General features: G+C 46.4%; 1 protein-coding gene across 6 annotated transcripts in view, besides 2 other annotated features; it reads right to left on the reverse strand.

The window, feature by feature from the left end:
* FRMPD2 (FERM and PDZ domain containing 2) overlaps positions 1–13,523 on the reverse strand; it is a 118,337-nt gene that overhangs the window by 29,444 nt on the left and 75,370 nt on the right. For 4 of the 6 annotated variants that reach the window (NM_001318191.1, NM_001018071.4, XM_047424652.1 and 1 more), the window contains 2 exon segments: positions 1,190–1,290; positions 6,682–6,892. In NM_001318191.1, coding sequence (NP_001305120.1) covers positions 1,190–1,290; positions 6,682–6,892 — 312 coding nt within the window. 6 annotated transcript variants of the gene reach the window in all.
* Positions 727–1,926: an enhancer, noted in NCBI's record as "BRD4-independent group 4 enhancer chr10:49394772-49395971 (GRCh37/hg19 assembly coordinates)". NCBI's record gives its function as "activates an origin of replication core promoter dependent on BRD2, P300/CBP, MED14 and CDK7 cofactors, and independent of BRD4, by STARR-seq in HCT116 cells {active_cell/tissue: HCT116}" and the evidence as "EXISTENCE:reporter gene assay evidence [ECO:0000049][PMID:35650434]".
* Positions 3,006–3,961: an enhancer, noted in NCBI's record as "H3K4me1 hESC enhancer chr10:49397051-49398006 (GRCh37/hg19 assembly coordinates)". NCBI's record gives its function as "activates a minimal SCP1, AML or CMV promoter by ChIP-STARR-seq in naive H9 embryonic stem cells {active_cell/tissue: H9 hESC(naive)}" and the evidence as "EXISTENCE:reporter gene assay evidence [ECO:0000049][PMID:30033119]".

Genomic DNA, 13,523 nt, shown 5'->3' on the forward strand with positions numbered 1-13,523 from the left:
TTGCTGAGAGTCAAAACAAAAACAAAAGCTAAAACAGAGGTGAGACAGTAAAGCCTTCCCATCCCAGGCCTCAAATAACCAGGGGTGACAAGGTGCCAGCAGCCCAGCCTGTGTGACCTGTGGTCTTCCCCTGGCTTGGATCATGGAGGAGCCCCAGGCAGAGCCCTGAAGCTGTTCCTGGAGAGCTGGAGTCCTGGAGTGGGGCACTTCAGTGTGTGCCACAGTGTACTTGGGAAAATCCCCAAATGGTGACCCACCACTTCAGTCCTTCCATGTCTCTCCCTCCCCCAGGGACCTTGGCAGAAATTGGCAGACAAGTTACTTGTAAAGAGTTGCCTGGCAGTTTTCCTGATTGATATGGTTTGGCTGTGTCCCCACCCAAATCTCAACTTGAATTGTATCTCCCAGAATTCCTGCATGCTGTGGGAGGGACCCAGGGGGAAGTAACTGAATCACGGGGGCTGGTCTTTCCCATGCTATTCTCGTGATAGTGAATAAGTCTCACGAGATCTGATGGGTTTATCCGGGGTTTCCGCTTTTGTTTCTTCCTCATTTTTCTCTTGCTGCCATCATGTAAGAAGTGCCTTTCACCTCCCACCGTGATTCTGAGGCCTCCCCAGCCATGTGGAACTGTAAGTCCAATTAAACCTCTTTTTCTTCCCAGTCTTGGGTATGTCTTTATCAGCAGCGTGAAAACGCACTAATACACTGATCCAACCCTCAGGCTTAATGCTCACTGAGTAGAGATATTTTTCCAAGTGTCGGATCTCTTTGTCCTCACATTCAACAGGGAACTGGCCAGGAGGATGCATGGCTGAAGGGACTGCCATCTACTCTGTGTATGTTTTCTGGTGAATACTGGGAGGTGATGTTCTGGCCTGCATAAAGAAGCATATCTACAGTGAATGGTGCCTTTTTCTGAACACACCCTCCATAGCAGGTATTCTTCCTTCTGGACAAGAGTGCTGGGATTGTCTTCGCCAGAGCTGACACATTTCAGATCCTCATACCCAGCCAAAGCTAAACGCCTCTTCCCAATCACAAGTAGTTTAAAAAGAAAACAATTCAAAAAACAAGAAGGTTACAAACATTGTGTGGGAAGCAAAAATAAGTGGTGGTAAAAGACTCAAAGCAAGCTTCCTGCGTAGGGGTTCCTCCACCCAAGACCTGGTCGTGGCCTGGCCCATACCTGCATGCATGCTCTGAACAGGTGGTCCAGAGAGAGAGTCCCAGGTCATTGGCTTCTGGATCACACAGGCACTCTTCAGCTGCTCCCGGCCAGTGCAGGGGCTGCCGGGAAAAGAAAATGAGGTTAGATAAGGTGGCCCACGGGGAAGGACAGTGAGGTTAGATAAGGTGGCTCAGGGAGGCAACTTCTTGGCATTTCTGAGTATGGATGATGGCCCGGGGAGGGCAGCCTTGTGTCCAGTCATCCAGCAGCTCCTCAGAGGGACCCCATCGAGGGCTGATCTAGTTATTAGGAGGACACTGGGAAAAATGGCTGTAGGATCTTTATGTCTCAGAGGGGACACTGAGGTAACTCTGGCTTCATATGAGCCTCCTACTATGTGCAAGATACGTGATCCTGTAAACCTCCATTTTTTCAACCATAAAATAAGAATAACATTCCTACTTCCCAGGCTTCTAAGGGAACTGAAATGAGATAGTAAGTGTCAAACACCAGCACTCTTAGTGGATACTGATGTTTTGTCATTTGCTCCTGTTTTCAGCTGGAGGCCTTCAGGCAGGCCAGGCACCCTCCACACCCCACCTACCACATGCTCGAGAGCTGCACAGGGTCACTGACCTGCTTGATCATTGTACATGTTGTGTTGGGTGCCGCCTGATCATACCATGCTGTGAACAAGAAGCATTCATGCAGGCATTCAACTGGCCCTGACGGAATATGCCTCATGCTAGTAAATAATGTACTAGAGCCTAGCAGAATAATGAGTCAAGGGAGATGTTGCCACAGCCCCGGGGTCAGTTCTGCACAGAGATAAGCTACATTCAGAGGTGAGCAAAGTCTAGATTGAGAGGGAACAATTGATGTAAAGCTGTGGGTCTCAGAGCCCTGGAAAAAGCCAGCTCTGGGACTCCTGGACAGCCAAACATCTGAGCAGATTCCGCTTCCCTGGTTACCCAGACTGACCCCCACCCCTCAGAGCCCCACAGCAATCTCACAGCTTCAAGCAGCTGGACTATAGCAGGGGTCGCTGGCATGGACAGTTACCCATGGATCCACCCCCTGTACCCTTGGAGCTGTGACACCAGGGCTCTCTCTGCAGGGAGCTTGGCACTGTGCAAAGAGGCTGCAGCCAGAAAGGGAAGAACAGGGGCGGTGGGGGGAGGAGAAGTCCAGCCTCACAGTGAGGTGCAGCACAGAGTAGCTTTGGAGACTGGCGACAGATGAGGCCTCACTCTGACTTGGCTCATGTTTGTGCTTGCCTTGCAGCACGATCGACCCACAGTGACTGAGAACCCCAGGTGTCAGGCCTGAGCTCCAAGGCACTGAGGGTAAAGGGTGGGTCAGGCATGGGCCCTGTCCTCTGAGAGTCCCCAGCCTGCTGTGGGATGCAGGGTGGATGACTTTCATGCCTCCTAGAGCCAACCAAGGTGCCCAGGGAGAGGCTGCGACAGGGCGCTCGTGTGCTCAATGGATGGAGAAATCCCCACAGTCTGGGAGGAGCCGAGAGAGGCGATGATGCTGAGGTGGCCTTCAGGTGGCCTTTACGGAAAAGGAAGGGCTTTTCTGGGCCTGGGTTTTTATGACCCATGTGATCTGGGCCACACATGCAACCCTTTACTGCTTAAAAGCCAATCACTGCCAGTCACAAAAGGATGAAATGTGAATGATTCCACTCATCTGAGGAACCTGGAGCAGTCACATTCATAGACCAGGAGGAGCACGGCAGCGGCCAGGGGCTAGGTGGGTGGAATGGGAGTTGTGTCGAATGGGTGCAGTTTCAATTTGGGAAGACGGACAGAGCTCTGGGGATGGACTTTCGTGATGGTAGCACAACATCATGAATGGACTGCGTGCTACTGAACTGACAAGTGGTTAGGATGGTAGGTGTTATATTATGTGTATTTTACCACCATTTAAAAACATTTTAAACGTGAACTTTAAAAAAATCCATTTACTGAAAGCTTTCCCTGCCAGCCTCAGAGCCAAGGATATACCAGGCACATTGCTGTTCTTGAGAAGTTCCATGTTTCACAGCACAGACAGGAGCATGTGGGTGTCAGGGTGGAGGGGACAGAGGGTACTGCCCTAACTGGAGCCAGCGATGTGGAGGAGCCACACCTTCACCTGAGGCAGTGGCGAAAGGCTTCAGAAAAGCAGTGATGTGAAGTCAGAGGCCACCTCTCAGGAGTGGGAGGGCAGGCAGGAGCTGTACCTCACGGCAGGCAGCCACTGGCACCACGTGCTGTGTAAACAACTGCTCAGGAATGCCACTGGCGATGGGGTCCTGCCTCCACATGTCAGCCTTCCCTCCTGTGGTCATATGCCCAGGCTTAGGCCAGCGGCATGACCCACATCTTTCCACACAGACCCCATGTGGGCCACCTCTCCGCTGGCCTGTGAGCTCATGAGGTGGGGACCACATCTGTCATGCTCACCACCGAATCCTCCACACCTGGCCCAGGGCTGGCACACATTAGGTGCTCAATCCATTTTTCTAGTAAGACTAAGGAGGCCCTTGCTCATGGCATTCCTTCTCTTCCTCTCACGGTGCCCAGATCCTATTCATCAGTCAAGACCTGATGCCACATCTCCCAAGCAGCCGTCCCTGGTGCCCTTGCTTGGAAATTGCTGCGCCGTTCATGGAGCCTAACACTGTGTTCGAGACCAGCATCAGGGCAGTCACCACAGACCAACCCATATTCAGCTTTTATAACATGATTTAATTCCCACAGCCACCCAGTGGGGAGGGATGACTATTACTACCACTGGATGAATGAGGAAACTGAGGCCTGGGGTGTTGAATAACTTCATTGAGGTCACACAGCACTAGACCACGGAGCAAGTATTGGCAAAGGACTTCCATGATGCGGGGCTTGATCCAGAACCCTGTCAGAAGGGGCCCCCGGCAGAATGGCCTCTGTACCATGACAGAAACTCTAAATGTCTCAACTGCATCACTGTCATGGACTTTGGCCCACCTCAGACTTCAACTGCAGTGGTGGGGGGCAGTTCCATGAGAGCTCAGGCTCAGCTGAGCTGACAGCATCCTGGCTCAGGTGTGGCCCTCTTTCTGCTCTAGAGATTCTTGTCCATCTTGGGAGCCGTCTCCTCCACCCCCACTATTCCCACCTTACCCAAAAGCATGGGAGAGTCCAGGCCTCCCATCCTTTGACCAAAGGGAAGTAGGAGCCATTACATGGTGTTTGCCTCCTGTCCTGCAGTTCTAGGAGGCCTCTGCACACCTCTGTGGAGCTGAGCCCTGGTTGCCCTCAACAGCTACCTGGTGACCCCTACCCCTGTGACCACACTTTGCCTGCTTCCCCAACTCCCTCTCTCTCTCACTCCTTCTTGGCATCACCTCCACAAAAACATACCCGCACCCAAACCAGTGTCTCAAGCTGTGCTTCTTGGAGGTGGGGTGAGGGGAATCTTCCAAGAACTCAAAAGCCTAGTAATTAGGTTTCCCTTTTCACCCACGGGTTACTGGTAACTTCTGATGTGAGTTATTAAGGGTCATGAAAATTTGGCATTTGTAAACCAAGATTAGAGTTATACCGAATATTACGGAGGGCGCCAATTCAGCTTTGTATCAAGAAGGCCAGCAACCATGCAACACTGAAAAGCCCCTACTGTGCGTGACCACTGGCCAGTCGCTGGAAGGGCCACCATTCTCAGAAAGGATGCTTTGCGGGCAACACATCCTCAAGATGGCCTTGAGTCAGTCATGGCTTCTTCTGCCTTTTAAACAATGAAGTGCTATAAGGTACCATTAGTTGGGTGACAAATGAAAGATGTTCACAAGGTCTTGGACGCTCCTACATCAAGAAGTGGAGACTATTTCTGCTCCCTTTGAATCTGTGCTGACCTGTGACTATTTTAACCAGCAGTATGGCAGGACTGACACCAGGCTAGCTTCAGGCTTAGACTTGAAGAGAACTGACAGCTTCTTTTTGGGATCTTGGAGCCCTCCTGCCTTGCAGAACCTTGCTGGAGACCCCACATGAAGAGGAGTCAAGACTACTCACGGAGAGAGAGGGGCTCCGTGAGCACTGCCTCCCAACCATCCAAGGAAGCAGCCTGTGAACAAAGTCGTCTTGCGTCCTCTAGACTAGTCCAGCATCTGCTGGACCCCAGACAATACCACATGAAACCCAGAAGAATCCCTCAACTCAGTCCTGCCTGAATTTCTAACCCAGTTCACTGTGAAATTTCTAATCCAGTTCATTGTGAAATGGAATAACACAATGGTCATTGTTTTAAGCCACTGTGCTTTGGGGTCGTTTGTTACACAGCAATAGATGCTCGAAACCGTTTTGCCTTACCACTGTTGATTTAGTTTGTGGTGCACGGCAATGTACATTTGCATCAACAGAATTGGGGGCAATAATTATGGATATAGATATAGGTATAGATATAGATACACACATAGACTTTCAGTTCAAATGAATCATCCATACCCTCTTGCTGAAGTAGCTGGAAAACTCATCCCAAAAAAACAGCTCCTGCAGCAACCTTCATTGGTCATATGCTGCCTGGGAATCTGTGCTATTTCTATAAATTGCAGTGTAAATGTAATCCAAGTCCTAGGCTATTTTTAAATTTATGAATCGTTTTGTCATGTGAAGTTGCATTTATAAGCCCACTATTTTTACATATAAATTTAAATGATAAGAAACTCATCAATAGGAAAGGTAGCGTGGTGTAGAGGTTAGGAGCTGGACTCTAAGGCCAGCTGCTTGTGTTCAAATCCTAACCCCTGGGTTTCCTCTCTGTGATGTGATGAGAACAACGGAAACACTTAACAGAGTCATAAGACTTAAATTAGTTGATATGTACACGTGCTCAGAACAGCACCTGGCTGATAATAAGGCCAAATAGGCTTATTGCAACTTGTTTATTTGTCCTCTCCAATTTCATATTGTCATCTAGTTCTTTCTTCACCAAAAGACGGGAGCATCATAGAAGGAGGAATGAGAGGTTGGCCCTAGAGTGTTTAACATAGACTTAGCCCATAGATGGCCTTCTGTAAATCTCTGTGGAATTGATTGACAGTTACCCAATAAATATACACTTTTCCTAGACATCTAACATCGTTTAAACAATTTCTTGGCCAGGCTTGGTGGCTCATGCCTGTAATCCTAGCACTTTGGGAGGCCGAGGAGGGTGGATCACCTGAGGTCTGGACCTCAGGTTGAGACCAGCCTGACCAACATGGAGAATCCCTGTCTCTACTAAAAATATAAAAATTAGCAGGGTGTGGCAGTGCATGCCTGTAATCCCAGCTACTCAGGAGGCTGAGGCAGGAGAATCGCTTGAACCTGGAAGGCTGAGGTTGCGGTGAGCCAAGATCACGCCACTGCACTCCTCCAGCCTGGGCAACAAGAGCAAAACTCAGTCTCAAAAAAAAAATAAAATAAATCTTCAGTACAGATCACTGCAAACCATCAAGCACATGGTGGTTTGGGCCCAGAGAACAAATGTGTCACACCCACCTGCGCCCGATGCCTTCTGCTCCAGCCTCCTTGCTGCCGTCCACGTTGAAGTTATCCATTGATGTACTCAGCAGGCCTCCTGCAGCACCCTGAAGCCTGGATACAAACAACTCGTTTTCTGAGCATGACAATCTCTGAATCCAAATGAGAGGCTTAGACCGGGCCTGGTGTGCAGGACTCAAATTGGCCATTTGCACAAACTTATCATGGTCTGAATTTGGGGAGAAAAACATAGACATACACACACACAAGAATGATGCTGGATCCATTGCTCTGGTGGTTGTAACATATCACTGGGCCCCCGCTCTCCTCCTCCTTTCTTTTTCTGCTGCTATTTTGTCTCCTGTGATTATCCCTGGGAATGCAAGGTCTCCTAATTAGCACTTGCTAATGAAAGAAACCTCAGAAACAGAAGAAGGAAGAGACGAGATGCTCTCTCTCCCCTTGCAGCTGACAGGACGCAGAGCCAAAGAGCCTGTTTAAATGGGTGCTAACCCTAGAGTATTTGCGGGTGTGTCGGGCTCCGGCCGAGCCTCCTGCGAAATCAGCTGCCCCATCCCCTTCTGCTTTCTGCTTTTACAGATCTGTCCTCCCAAACATTCTTGTAGCAAATGTGCCTCCAAATCTCCTGGGATCCCAAGATTAGGCTCTGCTCTGTGGAGTATAACCTTTAATCTCTACACAGCGTAGTTTGCCCTGGTAATCATATTTAATACAAGGTCCTATTTCCTGAAATATAATATGAGATGTGTTGGGTTCCCCCCAGCTTTGACACTTGCCTTTCTCCTTCCATGCAGAAATGTTTAATAAATAACTTTGATGAAGTCTTGAACTTAAGACCATGGATGTGATTAACTCCCCACTTCACTATTCACATTGATCATAAAAAAAATGGGATTTGAAAAATAGAGCTTTTAAGTTAATGAGGCTTTACATAAAGCCAAGTTAGTATTTTAAGACAGGAAAATGATGACTACATTCTGACCATCTGCGCCTTGCTAAAACCAAGAAGGAAAGAACGGTCAGACACATGGTAGTGGTGTGGCTCCTGGTTTCTCTGTGTGTGTATGTGTGTGTGTGTGTGCACATGCACTTCTAGAGCCTGGTGAAGTGCCTCCATTTCAAGGATATCCATGGGCATATATTTCTTCAAACAGACCCCCCTCTCTTCTCTACAATGGTGTCTGGTTCCCTGCCAGGGCTGTGCTTACTGAAAAAGCCAGCCTTTTAAAAAAAAACTTTTTGAGAATTTTCTGCATGCATGAGGCACTATGGTACCATCACTCACATACAGTAGGCAAAAAGCAATGAAGGAATATAAGTAAATTAAATGTGACCTGCAGCTTTTGCACAAATTGCATAGTATCTTACTCCATACAGAGCTTGGGCTTGCTCAGAAACAGCAACAACAGCAGTAATGTCAACATCAACTACTAATATTTGCTGAATGCTTACTATGTGCCAGGCGTGGTGGGAAGCACATTATCTGCATTGTCTCATTTAATCCTCACAATAACCCTATGGGGTAGATATTATTATACCCAATTTAAAGATCATGGAACTTGGGGCTAAGAGTGTGTTAATTATTTGCTCATGGTCCCAAAGCCAGTAAGTGGTAGGGCAGACTCACACTCAAATCTGCAGACTCCACAGTCCACGCTGGAAAATGGGGATGCTGAGGACACAAAGACAATGACAGCAGCAGGGGAGATTTATCTGAGACACACCCAGCCTTCTGTTTACCGGGGCCCAAAGGGAGAGTGACCTTAGACTTAATCATGATGGATATTAATACCCACAGGCGGATATTCTAGGCAGAGACAGTGGAGGCAAGGTCGCAGCTCAGAAAGGTTTAGCGAGTTTGAAGCAAGACTGTACAGAGACTGTGATTACAGGAAGGAGCCATCCCTTAGAGGCAGGGGACTCACAAAAGTTAGCAGAGGAGAGAGAGCTCAAGGGCCTGTGAGATGCTGGAGAGTGCCTGGAGCCTGAGGAGGAAGCTCAGTTAGCAGGAGAGGGGCTGCTTAGTGAGGTCAGGAAATGAGACCCTGGGTGTCAAGCACTCAGCATCAGGGACTCAGCCTACAGCTGTGGGCTGGTGGGGCTGCTGGTGAGTGCCAGTGTCATCGCCACGCCTCAGCTTCATGGGGCTGACTGGGTGGACAAACAGTGGAGGGGGGATTTGTTGGAAGGTGGTAGAGCCAAAAGTAGACAGCCTTTCAAGAATGGAAGGAAGCATTGCCACGAATGTCCCAAAGCCACTAGCAAGCTGAGGACAGTGGACAGTTTCTATTCCCTGCTGTGGGTGACTCATAGCATAATTGTGGCACTAGGGAAATAAGGCTGAATCCATCTGGATGTCAAGGGCAAAGTCCAAGTCACTTACAGTGTCATAAGGACACAGGATATACTCTGAGCCAAGGGCCACAAGGAAAAGACACCCAGGACAAGATTCTGGGCAGCTCACTGCAAATCTGCAGTCTTGCAGCCTTCTTGTGGAAGGGCTGAGACCAACCCTGTAGCCCCCAGACCACCCATGAGAAACAGCTGAGCAAAGGCCCATGGGCCCCACTCCACAGGGCTGACAGATCCTGCCTATTTAGTCCTGAAATTATGCATTTGTAAAAGCTCAGTGATCTATCTTTTCCCCCTACAGAACCAAATATAACTATAAAGTAATATGCTTATTGAGATAATTCACAGAAGAATGACTAAGAAGCACTTGGAAAGTGCTCAACTGCTCAAGAATCAAAGGACTGCAAAATAAAGCCACAGCGAGAAATCACTTTTACCTTCAAATGAACAAAGATAAACACGATGATATTTATTCCAACAAGGATGCAACAAAACAGGCAAGACAATACTGGGCTTGAGATTGGCACTTGGGAAAACAGCAGTAGTCTTAGAAAAATGCCCAGCACTGGTACCCAACAATTACACTTCTGAGATCTAGCTAAAAGAAATGATATAAAATATAGAAAAATATTTCTTCCAGTGATATTTATCATATTATTTGTAATACTTAAAAACAAAAAGTAAACTAAATATCAAAAATGGGAAGGGTTCAGTAAATTATTGTAATTCCACACAAATCATCCATTCGTTCATCAAAAAACATGTATTAACCACTTCCCATTTGACACACCACACCTCTGTTCTGTGCTGGAGCTGCTCTTGTGGAACTCCCAGTCCACTGCTGACTGCAGGCAGGCATATCCACAAATAAAAGTGGCAGAATAATACAGGTGAGAAGACAGAGGTCTGCACAGCAGAGGGAGTGGTCCATCCACCTAGGAAGAGCCACCTGGGGGCAGTCAATCAGGAAAGCCTTCAAGGATGAGGTTACCCTTAAGCTTATTTACAGAGGATCGGACTTATCTTGGTGGTCTGAGCCAGGAAGGAGTTAGGAACGTGCTGCAGGCAGAGGGTATGCTGGGCACAAAAGCCCTGGAAGCTGAGCCATCCTGGTGTGCTGAACAGCCTGCAAGCTGGCATGAAAAACAGCCAGAGACCAGAGAGGAGGAGTCAGGGCAAAGAATATGGCAGGACTGGGGACTGAGTGGGAAGTGTCTGGCATGCCATTCTAGAAGAAGTTTGAGCTTGTCCTTGCAGACAACAGAGAGCCATTAACAAGTTTTCAGCATGGAAGAAAATGACAGGATTGGTCCTTTTGAAAGGTCACTCTGAAGGCTGAGAAGGACAATTATCCAGGACAAGAGTACCAGCAGCAAGTCCATTATGTGACGTGCCTCCATTTCAAGGATATGAGATGTGTTGGGTTCCCCCAGCTTTGACATCTCTCTCTGTCTGTTTTTGGTGACAAGTGGGGTGGGAAGAGAGGGTGCAGGCCCAGACACTCCCAGTTTCCTGCAGGGAGGCTGGGTGACCACCTTTGTACAAGACATATCATGGCAAAGAGAGGTGTGTGAGAGGAAGAGATCAATTACGGATGCCCTGAGCTTGAGGGGTGTGTGGGACCATCAGCTGGAGGCGGTCAGTTCTCGGCTGCATGTAATCGCTGAAAAGGGTTACATGAATCTGCAGAGAGAGTTTCTAAAATGAAGAAATATTTTAAAAAGCAAGGGAACTTTGTCTAAACTCATCCTTTCAATGCAAATAAATGTTAGATTCCTAAAAACTCCTAAGACAGTAGAATGTGCAGTTTGAGAAAACAGCCTATTACAAGCCAAATAGGCCTGAAAGGACTAATTTTACAAGTGAGCTCATGAAATATTTATAAATATTTTACAGTCACTGAAATCAGGCAATAAAAGCAATATCAATGGTGTTTCACACACTGTTCTCAGCAATAGCAGGTAAGTCAGGTATAATTAATTTACATTTGTCATCTCCAGCTCCCTGGAAATATCCTGGAACCACCAGCCTGTGGTTTCAATGAAATGTTTATATGTTCATCTGGTTCTGCTGCAAATAATAAAATAAGCTACCATTATTTTCTGCATTTGGTTCTGCATCTGAAAGTTCAGCAATTTTGTTTCCCAGTTGACCCCAACTCCTGGGCCAGCCCCAGGACCCAATGACACAGCTCCCATATGAATTGGCTGGCACTGAACAAAACCCCCGTGAGCAGGAGCCACCATTACTACTCTCACACTGAGCACAGAACACCAGACACTGAGCTAGAAATGTTACACGCACACACCTTCCCACTCGAGCACAATACAAACCTACAGTACGGTCTGTGTGCTCCAATGAGGACACTCCAGCTCTGAAAGGGGAAGTGAGCTGCCCAAAGTCACACAGCTAGAAAGTGGCACTCCCCTGAGTCTACTGGACTCCACAGGCCACATTCCAAGTTAGTGTTTCTGAAGCTTATATGTACATTTAAATCACTTGGGTTCTTTTTAAAAGGCAGATTCAGATTCAGATGGTCTGGAGTGGGGACTGAGATTCTGCATCCTTTGCAAGCTCCCAGATGACATGCATGCTGCAGCTCCAGGAACCACGCTCTGAACATGAAGGGTGTAAACCACTATATTATATTGCTCCCTTTTATGGCCAAAGAAGAACTAATGCCTAGACATTGACAGCAGCTGTGGTAAAGCCAGTGCGCAGAACCAAGTCTCTCTAGCACTGAATTCCATGCTCTGGCTGGTTATGAAAGGCCATAGTACAGGCACTGGGCCCCAACAGCCACAGGTTCAAACCTTGGCTAGGCCCACCACCAAGCAGCCAGCACATTACTTAACTTTTCCAAGCCTCAGTTTGCTCCTCCCCATAATGCTGGTACCTGCCTCCTGGGGCTGCTTGACCAGGGCAGTTTGAGAAAACAGTAAATTATGAACATAAGGGAGGTAATTAGTGTAAGTACTTAGCATAACACCAGGAAAAATTAGTAATAACAATAGTAAATAGCTCCATAGCACTTCGTAAATGCTCCATAAATATTAACTTGTCTTATGTGATGTGTGCCCCATTTTAACCAATAGTCTTACTCTTAGTTATAACAATAATACACATTCATTGTTGTAAGTTTAATAAATATCAAAAAAGTATCACAGAGAAAACAGTCGTGCCTGCATGCCTAACTCCCAAAGGTAATAACAGTAACATTTTGGTGCAGTTCATTTCTGTATTCTTCCTTATCTTAAAACACAATATTAACCAAATTAGTGTTGTGTGTCTATCTATAACTATGCTATTCAATACAGTAGGCACATGTGGCCATTTAAATTTAAATATAAATGGAAGAAAATTAAATAACATTGAAAATTTAATCCCCCAGTTCTTTTTGCCACCTTTGAAGTGCCCAATAGTGTGAACAAATGTGAACCTGAAAGAGCCAGTCCCTCAAGATGGATTCTGAGCAGCTAACTGGGCCCAAATTTAAAATAGATTGCTTTGGCTATTCAGGCTCTTTTTAGGTCCCATATGAATTTTAGAATAGTTTTTTTTTCTAATTCTGTGAAGAATGACATTGGTAGTTTGATAGGAATAGCATTGAATCTGTAAATTGCTTTGGGCAATATGGTTATTTTTACAACATTGATTCTTCCAATCCATAAGCATAGAATGTTTTTCCATTTATTTGTGTCATCTCTGATTTCTTTCAGTAGTGTTTTGTAGTTCTCTTTGTAGAGATTGTTCACCTTCCTGATTAGCTGTATTCCTGGGTATTTCATTTTCTTTGTGGCTATTGTTTAAGTGGGATTGTGTTCTTGATTTCACTCTCAGCCTGAGATGCTGTTGGTGTATAGAGATGCTACTGATGTTTGTACATTGATTTTGTATACAGTAACATGGATTGAGCTGGAAGCCATAATCCTAAGCAAATTAACGCAGGAACAGAAAATCAAATACTGCATGTTCTTCCTTATAAGCAGGAGCTAAACATTGATCAGACATAGACATAAATATGGGAACAATAGACACTGTGGACTACTAGAGGGTGGAGGAAGGTGAGATGGGTTAGAAAACTACCTATCAGGTACTATGCTCACTACCAGTGTGACCGGATCCATACTCCAAACCTCTCAGCATCACATAATATTCCCATTTAACAAATCTGCACATGTACCCCCTGCATCTAAAATAAAAGTTGAAATTTTTCTGAAAAAATGAGTTCAGGCAAAAAAAAAAAAAAACCCTACTCTACAAGGTACCTTAAATTTTTAAGATATGGTCCTGGTAAAACAAGGGTATTTATAGTTTTTGAATTTAGAAGCACAGTAAGCAAAAGATCTGCTAAGCAACCAAAAGTAGGAGAATGTGATGAGTTACATTTCTCACTGTAATTGCTAAGCAGCAGCAAATAGCTTCCTGATTGGTACAGGTGCTTCCAGGGCTATTTAATAGGACATTCATTGTTATTCTTGTTGGTA

Source organism: Homo sapiens, chromosome 10, assembly GCF_000001405.40.
Source record: "Homo sapiens chromosome 10, GRCh38.p14 Primary Assembly".
Lineage (NCBI taxonomy): Eukaryota > Metazoa > Chordata > Mammalia > Primates > Hominidae > Homo > Homo sapiens.